Raw genomic sequence first — 24,694 nt, 5'->3', positions numbered from 1 at the left:
TTCCATCCATTCAATAAAAAAGATGGTATAAAGTGGTGATCCTAAGGAACTGATTATAAATCTCAAAGCACTCAAAACTGTTGAAATATGTGATATTCAAATGTAATTATTGAGTCAGGAAATAACAGATTACCTTATATACAAAACTGATTTTTCAACAAGAATTTATATTTAAGGGAGTTTTCTGCTTAAGGACCTTACTTTCATTAATTTCTGTTTTATGACTACTTCATCTTCCATTATTTTTGTTGATGATAATGTTTCTTCTAAGATTTCTTTCTTTGTTAAAAAAAACACTGCTGTACTTTTGTTTTGATGGTATTCCCTTACTCTTATTTTGGCTTTTTCCCCCTCTCACAGCAACCATACAGTTACCCAAATTTGCATATTTTAGGTTTTCACTGTTCTCACATCTTTCTATGGAATGATCAGTTTTTGAAGGACAATCTTTTGGTCCCCTAATAATTGACCAATTGCATCTTATTTTCTTGTTTTATTGCCTCAGTAACTGCAGTGCATATAATTTCCTTTTTCTCCTCTAAGTTTCTCACTAATACCTTAACAGTTTGGGTTTATATAACAAATGTCCTTACACTTCCCAGGTAAATGTATAAAAGTAAGGACATTGTTATAGAGGGGTGTGTGTGTGTGTGTAATCAAGGATAAACGAAATATTGTGAGACTATACCCATGTTTCACTTCTGTTCATTTTATGCTCTTTATATAAAACACAAACATGTTAAGTTCATGTACACATGATTTCTAATATTTTCTTTTGTAGGTTGCCTTTTTCTTTACTCTGATTCTTTTCATTTATACCTAATCATCTTCCTTCCTGGGGGTTCAATTTCTAGCAAGTGAAAGGAGGGCAGGAGATGGTCAGAGAAAGAGAGAGATTTTGTTTTCTGAGTCCTGCTTCTGAGGCCTGAAGTTCCACAACATTATTACACGACTACAACAAGAGCTATGGGAGTTATGAGACAGGAGCTGTGGAAAAAAACCTACACATATATGTTTTAATTATGTATGTATTGTATATATTATGTAATATCCCAGCATCTGTCTCAAAAAGTTAGAAAAATATCAAGTTAAACTCAAAGATAGTAAAAGAGAGAAAGTATGAAAAAGGAGAACTAAATGGAATAGAAAACAAATCAAATATATATATATATATAAACCTTCTCTCTTTTCCTCGATCCATCCCACCAGGGACTTATGACTTTGCTCATCTTTTCAAGGAACTAGCTGTCACGCCTGGCCCATGGGTTTTTTTTGTTGTTGTCATTCTTGCAAAACTACAACAGTAATGTCTGAAAAGGTGAATACATTGTGACCAAAGTGGCCTATTTCAAGAGTAAGAATGGTTAAATATTTGAAAACGTAAAATTCATCTCATTGACAGAGAAAAGGAGAAAACATAACACTGCCTTCTAGATAAATGCTGAAAAGGAATTTGATGAAATTCAATATACATTCATAATCATATCTTTTAGCAAATATAGATAGAACTGCTTGAATCTGATAAAATGCACCAACAAAAAACTTACATAAACATTTTGATTAAATGTTAAAAACTTTCCCTCTGAAATTGAGAATAGAGAAGAGTGTCCTGGCCAATCTGATGAGCAAGAGAAAGCAAGCATAAGAATGTGAACACAAGGACCAAACCTGTTCCTATTTACAGGCAACTTAGTGATGTACACAGAGAAATCAAGCAGAAGAATGTGAACCCAAGGACCAAACCTGTGCCTATTTACAGGCAACTTAGTGATGTACACAGAAAATCCACTGGGCATGGTGGCTCATGTCTATAATCCCAGCACTTTGGGAGGCTGAGGCAGGAGGATCTCTTGAGCTTAGGAGTTCAAGACCAGCCTGGGCAACACAGGGAGACCCCTATCTTTACAGAAAATTAGGAAAAAAAAAAACAAAAAAACAGGCTTGGTGGCATGCCTGTAGTTCAGCTACTCGAGAGGCTGAGGCAGGAGGATCACTTGAGGTTGTAGTGAGCCATGATCATGCTACTGTACTCCAGCCTGGGTGACAGAAGGAGACCCTGTCTGAAAAAAAAAAAGAAGAAGAAGAAGAAAAAAAATCCCAAAGAATCTACAGATGAACTACTAAATTTAAGTTTACCAAGGTTGCTGGATATACAGATGCAAAAACCAAGTCTATATTTTTATCCCAACAACAAGCAAAAATATAAAAAATCAATTATACCTTTTATAATAGCATTAAACTTATCATCAACAATGTAAAAATAAACCTAAATAAAGACATGTAAGACATCTTCAGTAAAACTGTAAAAATATTATTAAGAGAAATTTTAAAACATAATAAGTGAAAAGTTATATCATGTTTATGGGTTAGTAGCTTCTATATTGTAATATAGAATATGTCAGTCTCCATGAATTAATCTATAGAGTCAAAAGAAGTTCCAGGTTGGGCACAGCGGCTCACACTTGTAATCCCAGCACTTTGGGAGGCCAAGGCCGGCAGATCACTTGAGGTCAGGAGTTCGAGACCAGCCTGGCCAACATGGTGAAACCCTGTCTTTACTAAAAATACAAAAATTAGCTGAGCGTGTTGGTGGACGCCTGTAATCCCAGCTACTCTGGAGGCTGAAGCAAGAGAATCACTTGAACCCGGGAGGTGGAGGTTGCAGTGAGCCAAGATCACGCCACTGCACTCCAGCCTGGGCGACAGTGCAAGACTCCGTCTCAAAAGAAACAGAAACAAAAACAAAAGAAGTTTCAGGTTTATTTTTTGTGGCAGTTGACCAGGTGACTGTAAAGTTTATGGGAAAATTAAAAGGACCACAAACAGAAGGAGTTATCCCAGAGGAAGGTCAAGTAACCAATCTAAAGCACATTAAATCAACAGAACACCACTTTCCATCAATCAAATTAGCAAAGACATCATAAATGATAACACTCCATGCTGGCGAGAGTGTAATAAACTGATTTTTTTATGCACACCTGGAAGAGTGCACACAGGTACAACCTATCTGGAAAGCCATTTGACAAGCCAATTGGAAAGAAAACATGGAGATGTTTAGAATTTCATATCCTCCATCACGGTGTTTCACCTTCTAGGAATCTATCCTTTGAAAATAATATTGATCACACACTTGGCTAAAGTTTTATGTCTGAGGGTGCTGCAGCCTTATTTGCCGTGGCAAAAGTATGAAATCACCTAAATGTTCACACACACACACACACACACACACCAAAATGATTAGATTACCATGTCCACCTATAGTGAGACTGGCAGTCAATCAGAGGAAATGTTTCCTGAAGGCAATTTAATAAAATGAAGAAATGCTAGTAATTATAAAGTGAAAGAAGGAGATGCAAACTGGATACACTGGAAACAGCCCAAACGCTTACCAGCAGCAGATGGATGAGAAACAACACGTAGCATTGACATACATGCAATGGCATATTCTTTAGCCTTTATTTTTTATTTTATTTTTTTGAGATAGAGTGTCGCTCTTGTCGCCCAGGTTGGAGTGCAGTGGTGCAATCTTGGCTCACTGCAACCTCTGCTTCCTGGGTTCAAGAGATTCTCCCTGACTCAGCCTCCCAAGTAGCTGGGACTACAGGCATGCGCCACCATGCCTGGCTAATTTTTGTATTATTAGCATAGATGGGGTTTCGCCACGTTGGCCAGACTGGTCTCGATCTCCTGACCTCAGATGATCCACCCACCTCAGATGATCCACGCACAAACATGCGTAGAATGTTTGTGGTCCTTTTAATTTTCCCATAAACTTTAGAGTCACCTGGTCAACTCCCAAAGTGCTGGGATTACAGGCATGAGCCACCACGTCCAGCCATTTTTTAGCCTTTAAAAGGAATTAAATGGCACTATATGTGACAACATGAGTAAACCTTGGGAACATTATCTAACTGAAATAGGCCAGACACAAAACGACAAATCCTCTATGATTCCACTTATAGGAGTTACCTAGAATAGGCGAATTATTAGAGACAGCAAGTAGAATAGAGGTTATCAGGGGCTGAGGGGAAGGACCAATGGAGAATTATTCTCTGGTGGGTACAGAGTTTCGGTTTCTTTTTCCAGAAAAAGTTCTGGAACTGGATGTGGTAATGGTTGAACCACATTGTGAAGAAACACTGCCACTGAATTTACACTTGAAAGTGGCTAAAATGGTAACTTTTATGTTAGTATATTTTACCACAATAGAAAATGCGTAGAAAAAAACCGTGTGAGTGATTTTTTTAAAAACACATGCTTTGAGATATAGGACAATGTGTAATGAGATATTAAGATGTAATCTCAGAGTATTCATTGATTCATTGATTCATTGAAAAAAGATAATTCTATTGAGCCCCTACTTGTGCCAGTTACTCTTCTGGTTCTGGGGACAGAGCTTGGTCAACAAGACAAACAGCCCCTTGCTCTAGTGGAGGGTGTAACGCACACTGGGGTTATAAGAAGATTCTTTCTTTTTTGCCCCTTTATATATTTTCCAAATCTTTCCAATGGGCATTGTATTTTTATGTATGGGGAAAATATAAATGGAAGAAGGGAGGCAATTATGAAATCAATGTTGGCCTGAGATGATTGTTAATTTTCCTCTTCCTCCTGGGCTTATGCCGTGAGCACACACCTCATCAATACAGAGAGGACCAGGTCCGATGATGATGAGGGAGGGATGCAGGAGGATCGGAACTTACGGAGCAAGAGAGTGGCGCCTGCTCAGTCCGCCATCCTGCTGTCTCCCGACTATGCTTTGGGCTTTCTGGCTTCCAGAGGCATCCGGACTCTAGTGATCTGTCAGTCCCCCTCACTCCACCCAGTGGGTGTTTACATCGGTGTTCAAAAGATCCAGAGCTTCTCTTTTTTTGGTGCTAGGATTTTTATTCTTTTAACAATAGTCCTGCAATAGCTCTTGGATAATTGTCTTGACCCCTCCTCTGCTTATACCAGGCCATAACCCTCCTAGAGATTCGAAAAGCTGTCTGAAAATATCAGGCAGAGGTTAATAAATGAAAGGGCTGGGCACCTTTCCTCCAAGAAATCGTTGCTAATTTGGGGCTCCTCTTGCAACATAGCAAAACCGAGAATTTCAGGGCTTTGCAATGCAAAAAGTCCCCAGTGGCCTCATTTCTACATTTCCTCTCCATACCCAACTAATTGACCCTGAGTTTTTGTTCATTCTTGTCTGATCTTGGCTGATATTAGGAGAGGCAGTCTAACCCAGATGAATGAAACTCTGCTTCCTTGATCATGGCTGCAAAGGGACACCGCCCCACGCCCCACCTCCTCTGTGCGGAGATAGGAGGAATCCCTCAGACCCCACAGCTCTCTCTCATCTCTGGCAGCCTGCGCCCCAGGAGTATGAGATGAAAGAGATCCACACGATGGTCCCTGGCATCTTTGGCTACTGTTATTCTTCTATATCCCTTGGCCTAGGGATCTATTTTAGGCAGTAACTTCCACTCCCTCTCTGTCAGAAACCTCTCTCATCATTGAGCTAGATTTTGGAAGTGTAGGAACATCTGGTTTTTGGACTGTGAGTCCCCTCAAGGCTGATAGGATGTTTAATTTTAGCTAATGAATGGATGTTTAATTTATGAGTATATGATGAATAAATAAAACCAGCTCTGATGGTTTCATTTTAATCTCATTCCAAGACAAATCTTACTTTCTATATTTTCCCCCACAAAAACGGATTTTTCTTCTCCATTTCAATTCTTTTCATCTCCCTCTCCCCAAAATCTCCAATTATCAGCTCTTCCATGGAAAATTTCTTCTCTACTCTCTGTTCTGACTTGTTCATGATCTAGTAGTTTTCTCTAAGGAAGGCTATGTAGTTTGGAGGTTATAAAGCTCAGGCTTCCTGAGTTCAAGTCCCAATTCCACCATTTGATGGTTGTAACCTCTGTGCGTCTCAGTGTCCCCATTTGTAAACTGGTGCTAGTCATAGACACCAGGTTGTGGGGTTACCGAAGGAGGGGTAATGAAGGTAAAAAAAGAGCATCTATCATAGAACCTGGCAACTGATGAAAGATTCAATAATGTTGACTGTTAGTAACATTTCAGTAACATTTTACTTAAATAGATAGAGGTTATGATATTATCTAGGTAGGTAGCCCTTTCTTAATGGCCTCAGTCTAACCCAACACTTTATCATATGGGGAGAAAATGTATAATGGAACTGTGAGGAAAAATCTGGAAGAATGGGTTGCTGGTGCCAGAGAGGAGGTGACTGGAAAGTGTAACAGCCTCTCTTGCCCTGCCCTGAAGCCACTTCCACGTGCCTCAGAGCCTTTGAGCCTCCAGCAACTCTGCCATCTGCTCCAGGTGTGAACTTTGCACACAGTGAGCTCACTGAGGTCTGGCCTACTGATCAGCTGTCTTATTCCCCCCTTTCAAAAAAAGGAGCTGCACCGTCATGAGTACAAACAACTTGCCTGGGTCTACAACCCCAAGGTGACAATGTGGAGTTGTGATCCCAGGTCTTCAGAGGACCAGCTGGGACCTTTGGGACCCCAAGGTGACGATGTGGAGTTGTGATCCCAGGTCTTCAGAGGACCAGCTGGGACCTTTGGGACCCCGAGGTGACGATGTGGAGTTGTGATCCCAGGTCTTCAGAGGACCAGCTGGGACCTTTGGGACCCCGAGGTGACGATGTGGAGTTGTGATCCCGGGTCTTCAGAGGACCAGCTGGGACCTTTGGGACCCCGAGGTGACGATGTGGAGTTGTGATCCCGGGTCTTCAGAGGACCAGCTGGGACCTTTGGGACCCCGAGGTGACGATGTGGAGTTGTGATCCCGGGTCTTCAGAGGACCAGCTGGGACCTTTGGGACCCCGAGGTGACGATGTGGAGTTGTGATCCCGGGTCTTCAGAGGATCAGCTGGGACCTTTGGGACCCCGAGGTGACGATGTGGAGTTGTGATCCCGGGTCTTCAGAGGACCAGCTGGGACCTTTGGGACCCCGAGGTGACGATGTGGAGTTGTGATCCCGGGTCTTCAGAGGACCAGCTGGGACCTTTGGGACCCCGAGGTGACGATGTGGAGTTGTGATCCCGGGTCTTCAGAGGACCAGCTGGGACCTTTGGGACCCCGAGGTGACGATGTGGAGTTGTGATCCCGGGTCTTCAGAGGACCAGCTGGGACCTTTGGGAGATGCAGAGCTGCTGCGGCGCTCTTCACATGCACTTGATCTGCTGTGTCCACTAAATCTACCCCACTTCTAACACCCCAGTCCTGGACTCCGTGGGTGCAAAACGTGAGTCTCTGCACCCCTCTTCACATCCCTGGGGGGCTTGAGAATAAGCCAGCAGCCCTGAGCTGGGCTCCTTGGCCTGGCCATGACTGCCAATGAGGGGCCTTGAGTCTGTGTCCTCAGCCCCCAGCCTGTCCCCATTTTGGGGACTTGAACAGACCCACAGTGTCAGTTCCTCCCATAAAAAGATTTCAGGGGACAGCAGCACTTCCTCTTGGCCCCCAGGCACTTGAAGGCCGCCTGCACCCCCCATTCCTAGGCCTTGCCAGCCTGAGGGCAAGCTCCTTACATGACCTGCAGCTTCAGAAACTAGGCCCTCCTCCTTACTTCCCATCACCCATTTTGTCAAAGAACCTAGAATATTTTGTTATCCGAGAAGCCTGGCTTTCGACAAACCGTAGGATTGCTAGTATCTCTTTATGGAGTGGACTTGAACTGTTTATTGCAACTGTGACATGTGGCAAATCATTTTACTGTTCTGAGGCTTTACTTCCTTCTAGTTAGAATGAGCATTAGGCCGGGCATGGTGGCTCACGCTTGTAATCCCAGCACTTTGGGAGGCCAAGGCAGGTGAATCACGAGGTCAGGAGTTCAAGACCAGACTGGCCAAGATGGTGAAACCCCGTCTCTACTAAAAATTCAAAAATTAGCTGGATGTGGTGGCGGGCACCTGTAATCCCAGCTACTCGGGAGGCTGAGGCAGAGAATTGCTTGAACCCGGGAGGCAGAGGTTGCAGTGAGACAAGATCGTGCCACTGCACTCCAGCCTGGGTGACAGAGCAAGACTCCATCTCAAAAAAAAAAGAAAAAAAAAAGAGCATTAAATATATGACATCTTTAAAACTGTGTGGATTTAGAACTGAGGTATCTTCTTTGTTACCTGAGGAGGGAAACATGCTTATGGGGCTAATGTCATTTTAATTTTGGGGTAGGTCTGTCTGTCTTCTGTGGGGTGGGGGAGAGTGAAAATTTTCTCTGCTGTAGGTGAAGACCTCTAGGCTTTATTTTCAACTCATATGCCTCATGCTATTGTTCGAGAATCATCTTTTCTATTCATATAAGCTATATCATACTGATCTTTTTTTTAACCTTATTTATTATTTTTTATTTTTGAGATGGAGTCTCCCCCTGTCACCCAGGCTGGAGTATAGTGGTGCAATCTCAGTTCACTGCAACCTCTGCCTCCAGGGTTCAAGTGATTCCCCTGCCTCAGCCTCCAGAGTAGCTGGGATTACAGGCGCGCACCACCACACCTGGATAATTTTTGTATTTTTAGTAGAGACGGGGTTTCACCATGTTGTCCAGGCTGGTCTCGAACTCGTGACCTCGGGTGATCCGCCCGACTCAGCCTCCCAAAGTGCTGGGATTACAGACATGAGCCACTGCACTCAGCCCCCCTTTTTTTTTTTAACTTTAAAATCCACTTGTGACACTTTTGTAAAATACCATCAACCTTGTGTATTAAGCTACTGTTGTGACAGCCATGATAATTTCCCTCTGAAAATGGTTTGGAGACATGAAATAATAAAAATAACCTTTAAAATGCATTATCACTCTGATTCTATTAGGAAAAACGGAAGTCACTGGATTTAAACTATGTCAATGCCCTGTACTTTCTGTCTGTCAGTAGGTGCTGTAACTGTTGGCTAAATGATTATTTTTCATGCTTCCTTTCTCATTTCTGCTTTTTTAGATATTTAAAATGTCCTTGTTTCTTGGTGAGCAGAATTATTTCCTACCTCATGACCATGAGTCATGACCTTATACTCTTCTTTCAGTACAGGAGAAAGCTTCATTAATTTACTAATGCATTCATTCCACAAGTAAACTTCTGCAATCCTCGTTTATTCATATACTTTGACAAAAACAAAGAGACCCACAAGCTTTTTGAGTCTTCACAACCCAAAACATGTATTTGAAACTGAAAATTCAATCATTCCATGTTTATAGGCATATTGCTTGATAGAAACATATAAATCATTACCTGAATTTTTTTTTTTTTTTTTTTTTTTTGAGACGGAGTCTCACTCTGTCACCCAGGCTGGAGTGCAGTGGTGCAGTCTCAGCTCACTACAACCTCTGCCTCCCGGGTTCAAGCTATTCTCCTGCCTCAGTCTCCTGAGTAGCTGGGATTACAGGCGCCCACCACCACACCCGGCTAATTTTTTTTTTTTAATTTTTAATCGAGACGGAGTTTTACCATGTTGGCCACGCTGGTCTCGAACTCCTGACCTCTGGTGATCCACCCGCCTTGGCCTCCCAAAGTGCTGGGATTACAGGCATGAGCCACCGCGCCCAGCCTGGATTTTTTTTAATCCAACCCAGTTCCATATTTTCCTCTAGAGAGACTGACTCACCAAGCCTATCTCCTTTTCCTGGAAACACAATCAAATTAACTTTCCAGTCACCGCTGTGTCTAGGTGTGGCCATATGAGTAGTTCTCACCAGTGGAATGTAGTGAAAACGAGATGCTGTCTCTTAGGGACTAAGGAAGCTATCTTTCCTCTTCCGACATTTGCTGACTGGTCGATGCTAGATGATCTTGAGACCCTGTGCTGAGGACTGGAGAACTACAGGAAAGGAGCAGTATCTCTGAATTATCGTGTGGAAGGTCACTTGTCTAGCCCCTGATGACTGTGAGGTAAGTCGTTAGGGATCTGGGGTTGTCTGATACAGCAGTTAGCAGGTCCTGACTGACATATCCCTCTTATTCTTTAAGTTGAACAAATTAGAGACTGGAGTGTTTTGGGTAGCCTTGCTATATGGCATGGTCGAAGACGGTGCTTCGCAGGTGATTTACAACCCTCCTACCATTTACTCTGTCTTCATTTCAAGCAGTATAACCTATAATTTCCTAATCTTCAGCAGAATAGGAAAAGGGGCTCAAAGCCACAAACACACACGCTTCCTTTCAATGTACCTTTGTTGCTCAGCCACAGTGGCGAGTTCACGCGCCTGGCAAGACCTCTCCCTATTTGGGCATTTTGTGAATACAGAAGAATGGGCGCCCTGGTGTGACCCAACATCAGAATCCAAAACATGGCATCTTTACCTAGCCCTTTTCGCTTCTTTTAGATCATTCAATAAACATAATCTGTTTTCTTTCAAAATAACATGGTTATCTAATTCCCTTCATTAGCAGCTAGCAAAAGAGGCCCTGGGCTTCCCGTGAGCTAATTCACTGGGTCCCTGAGGTCGTTGCGGGCTTTCCCTCTCACTCTTGCAACAGACACAATCTCACTTCTTTAATGTAAAGTATGGTTTTTCTGTCGAAATGTGCTTCCTGTTTTCTTTATCGTAACTTACAGGCATGATTGCCTGGGTCTTCTCTCATTATTCCCAGTCCACTGCCTCTTCATATTTAGTGGTACTTCTGTCTTACTGGTCCCTGGAAATTTATCTCAGATCATTTCCTTTTGGGTCTATCTCTTCTTTAAGAGAAATAATTTTAAAGTCAAAGCTCCATAATACAGAGATCTGTTCTCTTTCCCACCATCTGTTTTCTGAACCTCCCCTCCTGGTTCAAGCCTCTGTAGGATAATTTGAACACAAACCATTGACTGCCAACTGAAATCGAACAAGATAATGTCCAATTTGCCCTTTTTTCTCTCTGATTTGTCCCAATGTTTACATTTCTCCATCAATCAATGAACAAATCACTTTGGTACAGTGTGCCAGTAGCTTTGAGAGGAGCACAGAAGCAATACAAGCAAGCTCACCAGTAACTTATGAGGCTCGCTTACCCAAAGCCATTCAAGAATAAGACAGTAGATAACACCAGCCACCTGGTGTATATAGAAAGTGCATTCAGAGGGCCGGGCACGGTGGCTCACGCCTGTAATCCCAGCACTTTGGGAGGCCGAGGCGGGCAGATCACGAGGTCAGGAGATCGAGACCATCCTGGCTAACACGGTGAAACCCCGTCTCTACTAAAAATGCAAAAAATTAGCTGGGCGTGGTGGTGGGCGCCTGTAGTCCCAGCTACTCGGGAGGCTGAGGCAGGAGAATGGCATGAACCCGGGAGGCGGAGCTTGCAGTGAGCCGAGATCGCGCCACTGCACTCCAGGCTGGGCGACAGAGCGAGACTCTGTCTCAAAAAAAAAAAAAAGAAAAAAGAAAGTGCATTCAGAATTGGGGAGGGGAGAGATCAATGTGTGTTAGAGCCAAGGAAACATTTAGTAAAGATGGAATTTAGCCCTTAAGGACTGTCAGGCCAGAGCAATAGGAAGTACAAACATTTCATATGTAGAGAATAACACGAACAAGGCACAAGAGCAGAAATATGAGTAACAGCCTCAGTGGGTCCTATTCGTTATGCACCTATCATGTCCCTTGCACTATGCCGGGCCCTTTGCACTCATTATATACGATGCTCACAGCAATCCTGAGATTGTGAGGCGGGTATTTTACAAATACAAGAAGTCAGTTTTAGAGAAGTACTAAATGGCAGACTCAGGATTCATGTCTGCACTTCATTCACTGCGTAGGAAGGTGAGGGTGGTTAAGGAGGTGCCACTCTGGGAGCAGAAGGCAGTCACTGGAGCAGATCAGTGGAGCTACGTTACGGAGATCCGGGATGGTCCGTGAGGATGCTGGGCCTCACCTGGTAAGCAACAGGGACTGCTGTAGAAGCTTTAGCACAGAAATAGGATGACAAACTTTAGTCAGACAAAATCTGAGTTCAAGGCCGTGTTCTGTGTTAGCTGTGTGACTGGGAACCACCGTTAAACCTGCTGAGATTGTTTCCTCCTCTATAAAATGTGTTCAACAGCAATATCAATGTATAACATTGAAAGGCTTAAATGAGATTTTACTAAAGCACCTGAGATATAGTTAGCATTTACTATATGATAGAGGTTGTTGCTGTTACTACTGCTACTACCACCACCACTGCTACCACAACAGCACTTAAGGAAGGATGATAATCTGGAGAAAAACAGCTAACAGATATTTCGTGAAGACATGAAATGAGATGGCATAGATAGATAGATAGATAGATAGATAGATAGATAGAGTTATATGCCATTTGGTTATATATACATAATCAAAACTTGACTCTGGGAGTATAGATGAATAAAGGTGAATTAGAATCTAGTATAAAGAGAGAAGATCGGAGAATGAGGATTGACACATCTGGGGCACCCACAGTTGGGGAGCGGGACACGGGAGAGAGTCAGTGACAGACACAAGGAAAATGCAGAGGAAGAGGTAAGATGGTCACGTAGACCACAGCAGTCAGGTAACAGAAGAGGTTCCTCAAAAGGCTAGGGAGGTCTACTGTGCCCAGGGCTGCTGTGGGGAGAAAAGATTGAGGACTAGGAAAAGGCTTGTGCAGTTGGGGCAGTGACAACATGGAACACAGACTGGGAGGAACCAGGTGGGAATAAAAGACACTGGCCACAGCCACAGGCACTGCTCATTCATCTGAGGTGTAAGTATAGAGAGAGAACTCGGCTGTGGCTTGGAAGTAACAGCAAGACAAAGAAGGAGGTTATTTTTAGTTCTTGGAGAGGCCAATACCGCTGGTAATCATGAGCGAGCTTCAGTTCATCTCTACCCCTTACTATGGTGCAACTCCTCATGGACTGGTTCCTGAGCCTGCACCCTCTTAGGGTGCAGGTTAGTCCTGCACTTAGTCTGGCTTCTGTTAACTTGTTTTCTCTTTCAGGTCTCACTGTTGCTAACCCCACTCATCAACTTGATCTGTTTGCCCCCAATCCCACCATTTTGCATGACATTATGGATCCTCTGATCTTTAACAAATCCATCCAAGATTGTCTGTTTCTTCTTCTAAGGTGTCACCAGGAATGAAGATTCTTTCACCTAATTTATTTTTTTCTGGTTTCACACGTGTCTGAAAAAATAATAGCAATTATTATTATTATCATTGTAGGATTCATTTCACTCCTCTCAAACACATTCAAAAAGTCTCTTCATCTCTTCCATCATGGTGATGCTCAACTGTTACCCAACTATCCAACTGTATCTTGGAGTTTTGTAATTCCATCATGAGTTGTACTCAACTGTTATCCAACATATCTTGGAGCATGCACCAGGATGCTCCCTGACACAGCTCACTTTGCAAGTAATTCTTAGACACACACTTTCTCCACCAGGCCTGTCTAGTTGAAGTTCTCTATATCCCTGCCCCCCTCCCCACCCTGGTTAAGCATAGGACTTCCATGGTTACATCCCATTTATTCCTTTCCCAAACATGCTTAATGCATTTCATCTCCAGTTACAAACATCGTCTGCTAATGAACAATGTAGATAGTTACCATGTTGTATAAATAGTTACTTATTTCCCTTCGTTGTTGGTTTTATCCAATAAACTAGCCCGATCAGCTTCATTTTATATCACCTTATCTCATACAGATGAGAAACTGTATGTATTTCAGCCTGTCTAAACTGGAGGTAACGCTAGACTGCAGTATCCCTGCACAGTGTCGTATTAGAAATGGCACCCTATAAATTTTTTATGAGTTAATAATGATTGTGATCCCATTCCTATTTTCTACAAGTTCTTCTGTTATGGTGGCAATTAAATAGCCTCACCTTCCTTTCACTTTCTGCAAACCTGCTGCAAGTCATCATTAACTTTCTTAATTGGTAGCGGCTCTGAATTCCAGTCTTTCAGAGTTCCCGTAAACAGCATCTTTCTTAATACTTATGTCATAATGTTTTTCTCCTTTCCTTGCATTTCATTCTGCCTTTGGGCAGGAACAGCATCATTTCCTGCTCTTCTGGGGTTTCAACACTGACTGCAAAGCACCCTTGCTCATCTCACTGGGAGATTCTGCAGCCAAGCAGAGATTTGCATAAAGCCCATCCACCCTTCACCAGCACAGGATACGCAGACTTAACTGCAGGGACTCTTGGTGACTAGTCTCTGTGGTGCACACTCTCCACCCTACCACCAAAAAGGTCCCCAGTACCCTAAAAGGAACTATGTACTCAAATATCACCTCAAATAAGATGAGGTCTTTCTGAGAGAAAAGAGATGTTGATGCACGTGACGGGGAGGGCATAGGAGAGGGTTGATATAAAATGCAATTACAGCCTCTTATGCTTTCCAAAGTGGGGGATGATTCAATGATTCCTGACTGGTCCACAGCCATATATCAATTGAGGTTATAATACTAATTTGAATTGCAAATCTCTGAAAAGAAGGGGACAAGCTAAGGAGATAAAATTTAACAGGGTGAGTCCTGAATTTAGATTTAAACAAACTCCACAAGTATAAGAAGGCAGAGGCTGGCAACAGTACTTGCTGTCATGTTTAGTCGGCCACTGGTCAGTCTGAGACAGCAGTGGGTGTGATCGTGTAGCAGCTATGGAAAGCTTATGCTGCATTTAATAATAATAGTCATACTTTAAAGCATGTTTCAGTTATGAATTCATTCTGACCAGAAAAGTAACTTGCACTAGCTTAACAGTCAAATAGCAAGAAGCATAGAGAAGTGGCCGCTTGCTGTGCTTCAGCAGCTCAACAGTGTCTCTATTCTCTTAGCCTCTTCCTCCTGCTTGCCACCTCTCAGTCACAAGACGGCTGCTGCGACTCAGGCTCATGTCCCAATTCAAGGCAGCAAGAAGGCCATGGAGCGGCACCTGCCAGGTATGTCCCTTTCCCAGGCATCCCCAGCAGATTTCTCACTGTCTGAAACTGCATCCCACGGCGTTCTTAGGTGCGAGGCTGGTCTGGAGAGTCAATGCTTGGGTTTTCCAATACCTGCATGGGACATGGGCAAGATGGAAGGGAGTTGGGTTTAGGAAACCAGTAGTGCCAGCCCTTTACTCGTATCATATCTGATCCCCACAGCAACCCTGAGGAGTAGCTATTTATCATCCTTATTGAGCAAATGAAGAAAATCAGAACCAGCAACATCAAGAAAAAATGAGGAAAGACATACATTAGTAAATAATAAAGCCAGGGTTCCAATTCAGATCAGGTTGAATCCAAAATTCCTCTCCCTGCCATTATAACGCATCACAGTGTTCAGGTCATGTGGGTCTGGGAAGGATGAATCATATTCAACTATCCCACCACGTTTTTGGCCATTTTTTAAAAACTAAAGTATAACACACATCTTGTTATGTTAACACTGACATCTTGAGAATATTAAATCTTCCAATCCATGAACATAGACTGTTTTTACATTTATTTGGTTTCTTCTTTGATTTATTTCAACAAAGCTTTGTAGTTTTCACAGTATAAGTTTTGTACATCTTTGTTAAATTTACTTCTAAGTATTTTAGAATTTTTATCTTAAGTGAAATTACTTTCTTAATTTCATTTTTGGTTTGCTCATTGCTACTGTATACAATACAATTAATATTTGTACATTGCTCTTAATCCTGTAACCTTGCCGGACCTTATTCATTTTAAGTTTGTTCTTTGAATATGTGAAACATTAAAAAGATTTTAAAAGCCAGAACTATACACAAAGGTATTGTCCTTGTAATTTTATATCTGATTGGAAGAATTCTCCACAGACTAGCTTCTGGCGATGTACTTTTCAAACCTTGTTTTTCTCCACTACCCATATATTTTCATGCGAATTCTGGGTACTAGGAGATACAGTCATACCACAGTATGACCTCTGGTCCTGGACTTTAGTGTCACAATGCTGTTTGAGTTAGTCAGTAAGCCATAGGAGTATTCCTGGAAGTCATTTCTACACTGGGGTGCCCAGTAATAACTTAACCATGTGTTGAAGTTACTGAAAACCACATCATTATAACCTACTCCACCAAAACTAAATATAGCTATAACTCAATTTCCCCTTAGCTGGGTCTCCAAAATGCCCAGTAACACCTGACGCAAGGGGATGTGATGGAAGGGAGGCTGAAGTGAAGGTACAGCAGACTTAACTAGTTGTAGTAAAGATACTTTACCTCTGAACATTTACGAAACATATGACCATGTGAACACAATTCTGGGTCCCCTCTGGGGCCTCGGAAGAAGGTGTCAGTGCTAGTGAGGGGCTCTAAAAGTGAAAACTTCATTAAATTCATTGCAAATCCACCTTTCTACTCCAATTCTCAGTTGTGTTCCTTTATTTGCAAAATACAAATAATATTTGCTTTGCCTATTTGAAAGGTTATTGTGATATATAATGAAATTTGTGTTTTTTTTAAATTTATATTATTATTTAATGCCTGATTAGAGTTTTTGTGTATTTCATGCGTTAAGAGTTTTACATGTATTTTCCAAAATTGGCTACAATAATACCTCCCTTCCCACATTCTCTTCTTATGGTGACTCTGACACTCCTCCACTGAGAGGACACTTTGCTCCCTCTCTTTGAATTTGGATGTCGTCTTGTGACCGCAGCAGAAGTGATACTATGACTCCAAGAGCTACGTCATAAGTGGCAATACAGCTTTCACTTGGCTCTCTTGAAATCAAACTGCTGTGAGGAAATTCAAGCCATAGAGAAGCCCACAAAAGGAACAGACAGCTCCCTCCAACTTCCCAGCCATGTGAGGGAGCCACTTTGAAAGTGGTCTCTCCAGGTCCCATTAAGCTGACAGGGTGGAACACAGACAAGCTGTAGATCCATGAGCAAAAGAAATGACTATTGTTGTTTTAAGCCTTTAGATTTTGGACTGGTGTATTATGCAGCAACTGATAACTGATACACCATCCCAGCTTTCCAGTGAAATCCCTCTCCACTCACGCCAAAATGAGCTTCCCCCTGTTCTGCAGTACACTTTGCAATTCCCCACCACTATGGCTTTCTCATGCCATCTCTTCCAGAATGTTTTCTGCCTACTGAAATACGACTTATCCTTAAAGTCCTCTCTCAAATGCTGCTTCCTCTCTAAAGCTTCTCTCACTGCCCCCGCCGGCTTTCCTATCTCCCTCTTCTGAAATCCTGGAGACCTTTGATTCTATCTTTTATACAGTACTTATTGCCAGGATTGAGATTTAGGATATTTATCAACTGACCCCTTCCTGGATTATCAGCCCTGGGAGCACTCTCTGCCTTGTGGCAAAGTTGGTTCCACACCTTTTCAGCTCCTCTTCTAGCCTAGAAGCACCTTAAGGGCAGGGTGCCTCATATATTTTTCCTCCATGCAAAACATAGGTTTTTGCACATAGTAAACTTCACACATCATCATCATTATTACTATTACTATTTTTGAGTCAAAGTCTCACTCTTGTCCCCCAGGCTGGAGTGCAATGACGCAATCTCTGCTCACTGCAACCTCCGCCTCCTGGGTTCAAGTGATTCTCCTGCCTCAGCCTCCCGAGTAGCTGGGACTACAGGCACATGCCACCACACCCAGCTAATTTTTGTATTTTTAGTAGAGACGGAGTTTCTTCATGTTGGCCAGGCTGGTCTCGAACTCCTGACCTCAGGTGATCCACCCATCTCGGCCTCCCAAAGTGCTGGGATTACAGGTGTGAGCTACCGCGCCCAGCCCATACATTATTTTATAAATAATTTGTTGGGACTTAAAGACGGAGAGATAATACTTAGGGGAGAAAGAAGATTAAACCTTTAAAATTATAAATTACTGAGAAATAAGATCATTTTTCTTAAACTGGGATTCTGAAGTCACAGTGTTTTTGATCTGGCAGCTTAGAGATCATTTAATTGGGTCTCACAATTTTTTTTTTTTTTTTGAGACGGAGTTTTGCTCTTGTTGCCCAGGCTGGAATGCAGTAGCGGGATCTCAGCTCACTGCAACCTCTGCCTCCCAGGTTCAAGCCATTTTTCTGCCTCAGCCTCCCGAGTAGCTAGGATTATGGGCATGGGCCACCATGCCCAGCTGATTTTTATATTTTTAGTAGAGACAGGGTTTCATCATGTTGGCCAGGCTGGTCTCAAACTCCTGACCTCGTGATCCTCTCTCCTCGGACTCCCAAAGTGCTGGGATTACAGGTGCGAGCCACCACGCCCGGTGATTCTTACATGTTTGTGTGCAAAACAATGCCTTGAGGAAGATGCGGGAGGGGCACACAGGTTCTGGAGTCCCCTTCCAGACATTCTGAACAGGCAGATCTGGGTGGGCTCATGCAGTCGCCTCCTTAACAAGCTGCCCACGTGGTGCTGATGTGGGTAGTCTGAGGCCCACGGTGTCAGAAGCCCTGGTTATTCAGGCTCCTGAATGGTGACTGGTTTGTCCCCTCCTGCTGGAGTCATGTGTCCTCTGAACTGGCCATGGAGCAGAAGAGGTTGCATGGCCAGAAGGAAAGGAAAACTGGTGAGGAGAGCCACAGCTTTGGGGCTGGATTTGAAGGAGAAATCACTGCTTTCATCCTTGGGTGGTGGTAAAAGCACCTCTTCCTTCGGGGCTGTCCTCAGGTGGGGTGATCTGCTTCTTCACAGCTGGTCATTGTTAATGGTGTGAATCACTCAATTCTGGTTAGGCCTCCACCCTTGGCTACCTGGTTCCCACTAATCCCACGTCTAATTTCATTTGCTCCCAGCCCCAGGGCCATGCTGAGATTCTAACACTAGATCATCTACTGCCACCCGTTTTTCCTGCATAAAATTTACCTTGCTCTGTAACCTTCATCTATTTAGAAATAAACCCATGAAGTCTTTCTGGTTTATTTTTCCAGCTCCTGTCTCCCCATCCCCTAGAATCGTTGACAAAATGAGTGACACTGCCCTGGGATCTGGGTCTCTGGTTGAGGCCTTGGAGCTACTGCCTCTGCCTGTGAACTCACCCATCATCGCTAACAGGTTGCTCCACAGCCTACAGATCTCAATATTTCGCTAGCACAAAACCCAAGCGGCCAGGCACGGTGGCTCACGCCTGTAATCCCAGCACTTTGGGAGGCCGAGGCGGGTGGATCACTTGAGGTCAGGAGTTCGAGACCAGCCTGACCAACATGGAGAAACCCCGTCTCTACTAAAAATACAAAATTAGCCGGGCGTGGTGACACGTGCCCGTAATCCCAGCTACTTGGGAGGCTGAGGCAGGAGAATTGCTTGAACACCGGGGGTGGAGGTTGTGGTGAGCCGAGATTGCACCACTGCACTCCAGTCTGGGAGACAGAGAGAGACCCCATCTCAAAAGAAAAAAAAAAAAAAAGACCAAGGGACTTCCGGGAACTAAAACATCTCAGCCCTTTCATCGCCAGTGTCTTCATCTTACAAGCAGAAAAGGAAAAAAAGCAGTGGGAAGCAGTAAGAAGCTACCGCTGACTCACTATGAATTACTGCTGACTTTGAATTATTTAGCAGCTGTGGAAAAGCCATCTTTTGTTTAAAAAAAAAATAGGGTTTTCTGAAATGCTTTTTATTTTTTTATTTGTATAAATACCTGCCCAGAACAGTCAAGTCAACTGACATCTGCTAAATGACTGAGACACTGTGGAATTTGTATACTGGCATGGTGTGCAGTTTCGTGCAAGTATAACCACAGAGACAGACAAATCTCTATCATTGCCACAGACTGCTTATAGCAAAATTCCAGAGCTCCTGTCATTGGTCTTTAATAGTTGTGCTTTGTTGCTTTTGTTACCACGTGTGCATTTGTGTCAACATTATACAAAGCACTCTTTCTCACAAGAGCTAGTTTCACTCTACAACCATACTGTAAGACAGGTATTGTTTTAAGATCAAGAAACCAAGGCTCTGAGAGGTTTAGTGACTCACCTAAGATCATGAACTAATAATAAGTGACGGATCAGGGACTTGACCTGGGACATTGATGCCAATTCCAGGGCACCTTCCACCGTGTCATATGGCACTTGCTCTACATATGTGCCAGGCAGCACCCGCATGGCTTTTCCTCATGAAACAACGTGGACCCAGGCCTACACAGCAGTTGTGAGAAAGTGCCTCCAGCTGGGAGCGCATCTGGCCCAGGGCACCAGCTGCCACTCCATGCTCTGAATCCATCCTGGCCTGTGCTGAGACCCCCCCTTTCCATGGGCTGCTCCCCACCCGTGATGGGGCATGGCAGGGGCACTAGGCAGCCCCCTTCCTGAGAGACATGGGGCTCCTCTGCCTAGAATGTTGTCTCAGCACTTCTCTTCTGCCTTGCTGAACTTTCCCTAGAGCCAAGGAGGCCTCCATACAACCTTTCCTCTCCTTCATTTGGAGTCAGACTTGCACTGCAGTCTAATGGTCATCCCACTTTTTTCCAGCTCCCTGATAAAATCTATGGCTTCTGCTTCTTGGAGGACCCAGATTATCACAGCTTATCTCATTCCTTTGCAGCAGATGCCCCTGCAGGCCATCTCTCCAGGCTCAGGAACCTAAAGAAGAATCTACCCAGATGTGGTGGCTCACACCTGTGATCCCACCACTTTGGGAGGCTGAGGCAAGAGGATCACTTGAGCCCAGGAGTTGGAGACCAACGTAGGCAATACAGCAAGACTCCCATCTCTACAAAAAAAAAAAAGAAAGAAAGAAAGAAAGAAAAGAAATTAGCTGGCTGTGGTGCTGCACATTTGTAATACCAGCTACTCTAGAGGCTGAGGCTGGAGGATCACTTGAGCCGAGGAGTGAGCTATGACCACACCATTGCATTTCAGCCTCAGTGACAGAGCAAGGCCCTGCCTCAAAAAAAAAAAAAAAAAAAGAAAAGAATAAGATAAAATAAATAATACAGGAGAACCTAGTGCTCAGGTTCTCTAGTGAAGAGGAAGGCAAAAGATAGAAAGGTCAGACAAACTTAAACATGCATTCCAAGATCGGCCTGGGTCCGCCCGTAGACATGAAGGAATCTTCTGGTGGAAAGTTAGGCAGGGAAACGGACACTGCTATGAGCATGTCTTCCTGGGCAGCTTGCGATGGTCAGGAGGAGGTGGTTGTTCCTCAGCAGCGGTGCTTCCGATGAAGCCCCATGTTGTAGTGGAAGACAAGCCATTCCTGTCTGACCTTCTGTGCCGCGCCTAGGCTTCCAAAAGCTGCTATCGCCAAGATCCATTTCCGTTCACCTTTAAACTGCTTGTTATGGGGAGGAGTCAGCCAGCCATGATGCATACTTGTTACAGAAAGAAACGCCCACGTTGAGCTCTCCTGATAAGAAGAGAGAGCATTCGTCATTGTCTGTATCTGTCATCTGAAGAAGGAACCAATGTCAAAAATCCCACACATTCTCCTCCCGCAAGTCACAGAGTAAGCCTCCCATTCTTGAGCTCGTTCATTCACCAAACACATTCTGATCTCTCCTGTGCCCAGGCGGTGGGATTCAGAGAAGAAGTGCTGCCTAGTAGTCAGCACCCAGTGCCAGGAAAACAGGACAAGGGGAGTTGTCGGGGGAGACACCAGGATTGAAGTTGCTTTTACTAAAAAACATTTTTTTTATCTTGTTAACAAATATATTTACCATGGTACATGGTGGCAATGCTCTCAGTTTTAAAACACAGCAATTATCTTCCAGTGGTCACTAATTAATCCAGGTGTGGCTAGGAACAGCTGGATACTGATCTGTGTGATGATGGCACCTCTATCATCAGGCTGCCATTGCTGGCACTTTGGGCAAGGTGGACTGGGGTTCTGCTCTGGGGCTGTGTGCCCAAGGTTTACACCTCACTATTTTACAGCACACTGGAGCTCCCAACAGTCCCCGAAGGTCTGGAGATCACCAATGGGCAGGAGAGAAGGGAGGGGTTTAGACATCAGGGAGCCAAGTTCTACAGCATCTTCTAGATCCAGGCTATCGAGCACTTGAAATGCGGCTAAGTCTGAATTGAGATGTGCTGTGTGTAAGAGACACAACAGATTTTGAAGACAGTATGAGAAAAAGAACATAAAATATCTCAGTAATTTTATATTGATTACATGTTGAAATGATACTAATTTTTGATATACTGGGTTAAATAAAATAGATTATTAAAATTAACTTCATCTCTTTCTTTTGACCTTTTCAACATGGCCATTAGAAAATTCAGCTTACGTAGTAGGCTCACTTTCTACTGCACAGCCCTGGATGTCAAACTCAATGAGAGCGGTGTCTGTACCTGTATCTGCTCATCCAGTCCATAAAAGTCAGCACAGTACCTAGCACTGAAAGTACTCCATAAATATTTGAGGGATGGACAAAAGTACAAGTGAACAAATAGCATCTGCTCCTCATTTCTGGTAAGTCAAGGAGCAGTTCTACCCTCTCCTTATCTTAAACTAATGCCTGAGAAGGAGGTGGGAGATTTACAAAAATCCATCTCCCAAATTTGAATCTTCAGCCCTGAACTCCCCTGAGATGTATATCTGACTGCCTACTTGCAAACTCCACTTAGATGAGTAATAGACATCTCAAACTTCACATCTCCAAAGCAGAATTTTTTATTTTCCCCGCAAACTGGCTCCTACCTAAGTCTTTTTCATCTTAATAGATGGCGCCATGATCCATCTGTTTTTTTTCAGGGCAAATACCTAGAAGTCATTCTTGAGTCCTCTAGTTTCCTACTCTTCTTCCCCCATGATCACCACCACCCAATCCCATCCATTCAAGAAACAGTCCTATTGCTCATGCCTGTAATCCCAGCACTTTGGGAGGCCGAGGCAGGTGGATCGCTTGAGATCAGGAGTTCGAGACCAGCCTGGTCAACATGGTGAAACCCTGTCTCTACTAAAATACAAAAAAATGAGCTGGGCATGGTGGCATGTGCCTGAAATCCCAGCTACTCGGGAGGCTGAGGCACGAGAATCACTTGAACCCAGGAGGCGGAGGTTGCAGTGAGCCGAGATCATGCTACTGCACTCCAGCCTGGGTGACAGAGTGAGACTCTGTCTTAAAAAAGAAGAAGAAGAAGAAGAAAGAAAAGAAAAGAAAAGAGAAAAGAAAAGAAAAGAAACAGTCCCATTGCAACATCCATTGCTACTACATCCACTTTTTCCACTGTCACTGTTATCACCTAGGGATAAGCCCCCTTCATCTCTCACGTGCATTATTTCTGACTGTCCAGGTGATGCTGCCACCACTATCAGAATTCTGTAAGCCGTTATTACCTTTCTGATAAAGACAAAAGCATGGATGCTATGAACTGCATGGCAAGATGACTTTGATCCGCATGTAACAGATGCACTTCCACAGAGACACCACTGTGGGAGGGAAACAGCTGGAGGCAGTCCTCTAAATATACACCTGCCTTCGGGCAAGTCTTCACTTGGCTGGTCCAGACAGAAATTTACCCTCTTTATAAAGCCCTCCACAGATGTGGGGTCCAGAGACAGGCATGCCCAGGCTTTGACTAGACCATTCATTGGCTGCATAGCCTTCCCCACAGGGTGGGTACAATAGCGGGTACAATAACGACAGCAAGCATCACTTTCCACCCCAGGGCTTTTCCTGCTGCCTTTGGGGACCTCCCCAACAGCATTCTCCAGTTCAGAAGCAAGCAAAGCAGAACCCTCATCCCTACTTAGAACATACAAAACAAAAAATAGCCTTCTGCAGGATCACAGAAAAACGAAGGAGAAATCAAAGATGATGGAACTACCTCACAGACACACTTTCCTGATTTGGTTATTTAATGAGTTTGTATTGCTACAGAATTGCAGAGGAAATTAACTTAGCTTACAAGAAGACGGAGGACTAGGAGCCTGAATGTTTCACGTGAGGCCTTTGCCCACAAGAGCAGACGACTCTGATGCTCCTCTCTGCAATTAGACTAAGGACTCCACACCTTCATGCCCTCCCTCTTCCTGCCCCTAAATGTCACCTTCTCCTATGGCAATCCTCCTGAAACACCCTCCTCTCTTACAACTCAATAGACCCCATAAACACACCGCCATTCTTCCAGTCATCTTTGACTCCTCCTTCTGCCTGACCACTCATCTCCATTGGTGACTCTTATGTGTTCCTTCAACTGTTTCTTAAACCTGAAGGCACCATCTGGAGCAGATCCATATATCCATACTTCATGTGACCTCCCAGGAGGTGGTCCTTTCTTCACTGTCTTCTCTATTCAGTCCAGCTCATCATGATCACTGCTGCCAGGTTAATCTCCCATAAGCACCATTTTCTTTAAGTCATTGTAAATAAGAATCTGCAGTAGCTCCCTATGGCTTATTCATTCATTTTTTAAAAATCCATTCATCCAACACATAGCTATGCCAAGCTATATGCTAGGTGCTGGGGATAATGGTAAACAAGACAACTTAGCACCAACTTCATAAATTCCAACGAACTCCACACTCTTCTGTATGATTTTCAGCCCTTCACCAGCTCTCAATCAGGCCTTTGCTTTCATTATTTCCCCAATGTGAAGTTTTTCCTCCACTTACTTTATCCTCTGAATTTTGCTCATCACGAAAGGACCAATTCAAAGCCTCCCTCCTCAATACTTCTGTGAGTTCATATCACTGACTTCCTATATACCATTCATTTGGTTCTTATCCTCTACTGCCTTTTTAAAAATGCATTTCACAAATGAAATTACTTTTTCATTTCTGAGTCTTATCCCCACAATTATATAATATAAATGCCTTGAGGAGGGTTCTCCTACAGATTTTTAGTTGGT

At 43.6% G+C, this 24,694-nt stretch overlaps 2 long non-coding RNA genes and 1 other non-coding gene across 4 annotated transcripts in view, besides 2 other annotated features; 2 read left to right on the top strand and 1 right to left on the bottom strand.

Moving 5' to 3' along the window:
* The first annotated feature begins 9,717 nt into the window (after positions 1 to 9,717).
* Positions 9,718 to 22,074, top strand: MIR3945HG (MIR3945 host gene). The gene is made up of 3 exons (NR_132989.1): positions 9,718 to 9,901; positions 14,771 to 14,875; positions 20,445 to 22,074. It is a non-coding gene; the product is annotated as an MIR3945 host gene (long non-coding RNA).
* Positions 14,260 to 14,357, top strand: MIR3945 (microRNA 3945). The gene has a single exon (NR_037510.1). It is a non-coding gene; the product is annotated as a microRNA 3945 (primary transcript).
* Positions 14,741 to 14,810: an enhancer, noted in NCBI's record as "active region_22243". NCBI's record gives its function as "activates an Ori minimal core promoter by ATAC-STARR-seq in GM12878 lymphoblastoid cells {active_cell/tissue: GM12878}" and the evidence as "EXISTENCE:reporter gene assay evidence [ECO:0000049][PMID:35858748]".
* Positions 15,879 to 15,948: a silencer, noted in NCBI's record as "silent region_15845". NCBI's record gives its function as "represses an Ori minimal core promoter by ATAC-STARR-seq in GM12878 lymphoblastoid cells {active_cell/tissue: GM12878}" and the evidence as "EXISTENCE:reporter gene assay evidence [ECO:0000049][PMID:35858748]".
* The window catches only part of LOC105377587 (uncharacterized), an 18,036-nt gene continuing 14,505 nt past the window's right edge, over positions 21,164 to 24,694 (bottom strand). For both annotated transcript variants that reach the window (XR_939564.4, XR_001741947.1), the window contains exon 3: positions 21,164 to 21,248. This is a non-coding gene — a long non-coding RNA (uncharacterized LOC105377587). The remainder of the gene's footprint in view (positions 21,249 to 24,694) is intronic.

This window comes from Homo sapiens, chromosome 4 (genome assembly GCF_000001405.40).
Source record: "Homo sapiens chromosome 4, GRCh38.p14 Primary Assembly".
Classification (NCBI taxonomy): domain Eukaryota; kingdom Metazoa; phylum Chordata; class Mammalia; order Primates; family Hominidae; genus Homo; species Homo sapiens.
Note: the sequence above shows the minus strand (reverse complement) of the source record. Positions and strands in the feature narration are given on the sequence as shown.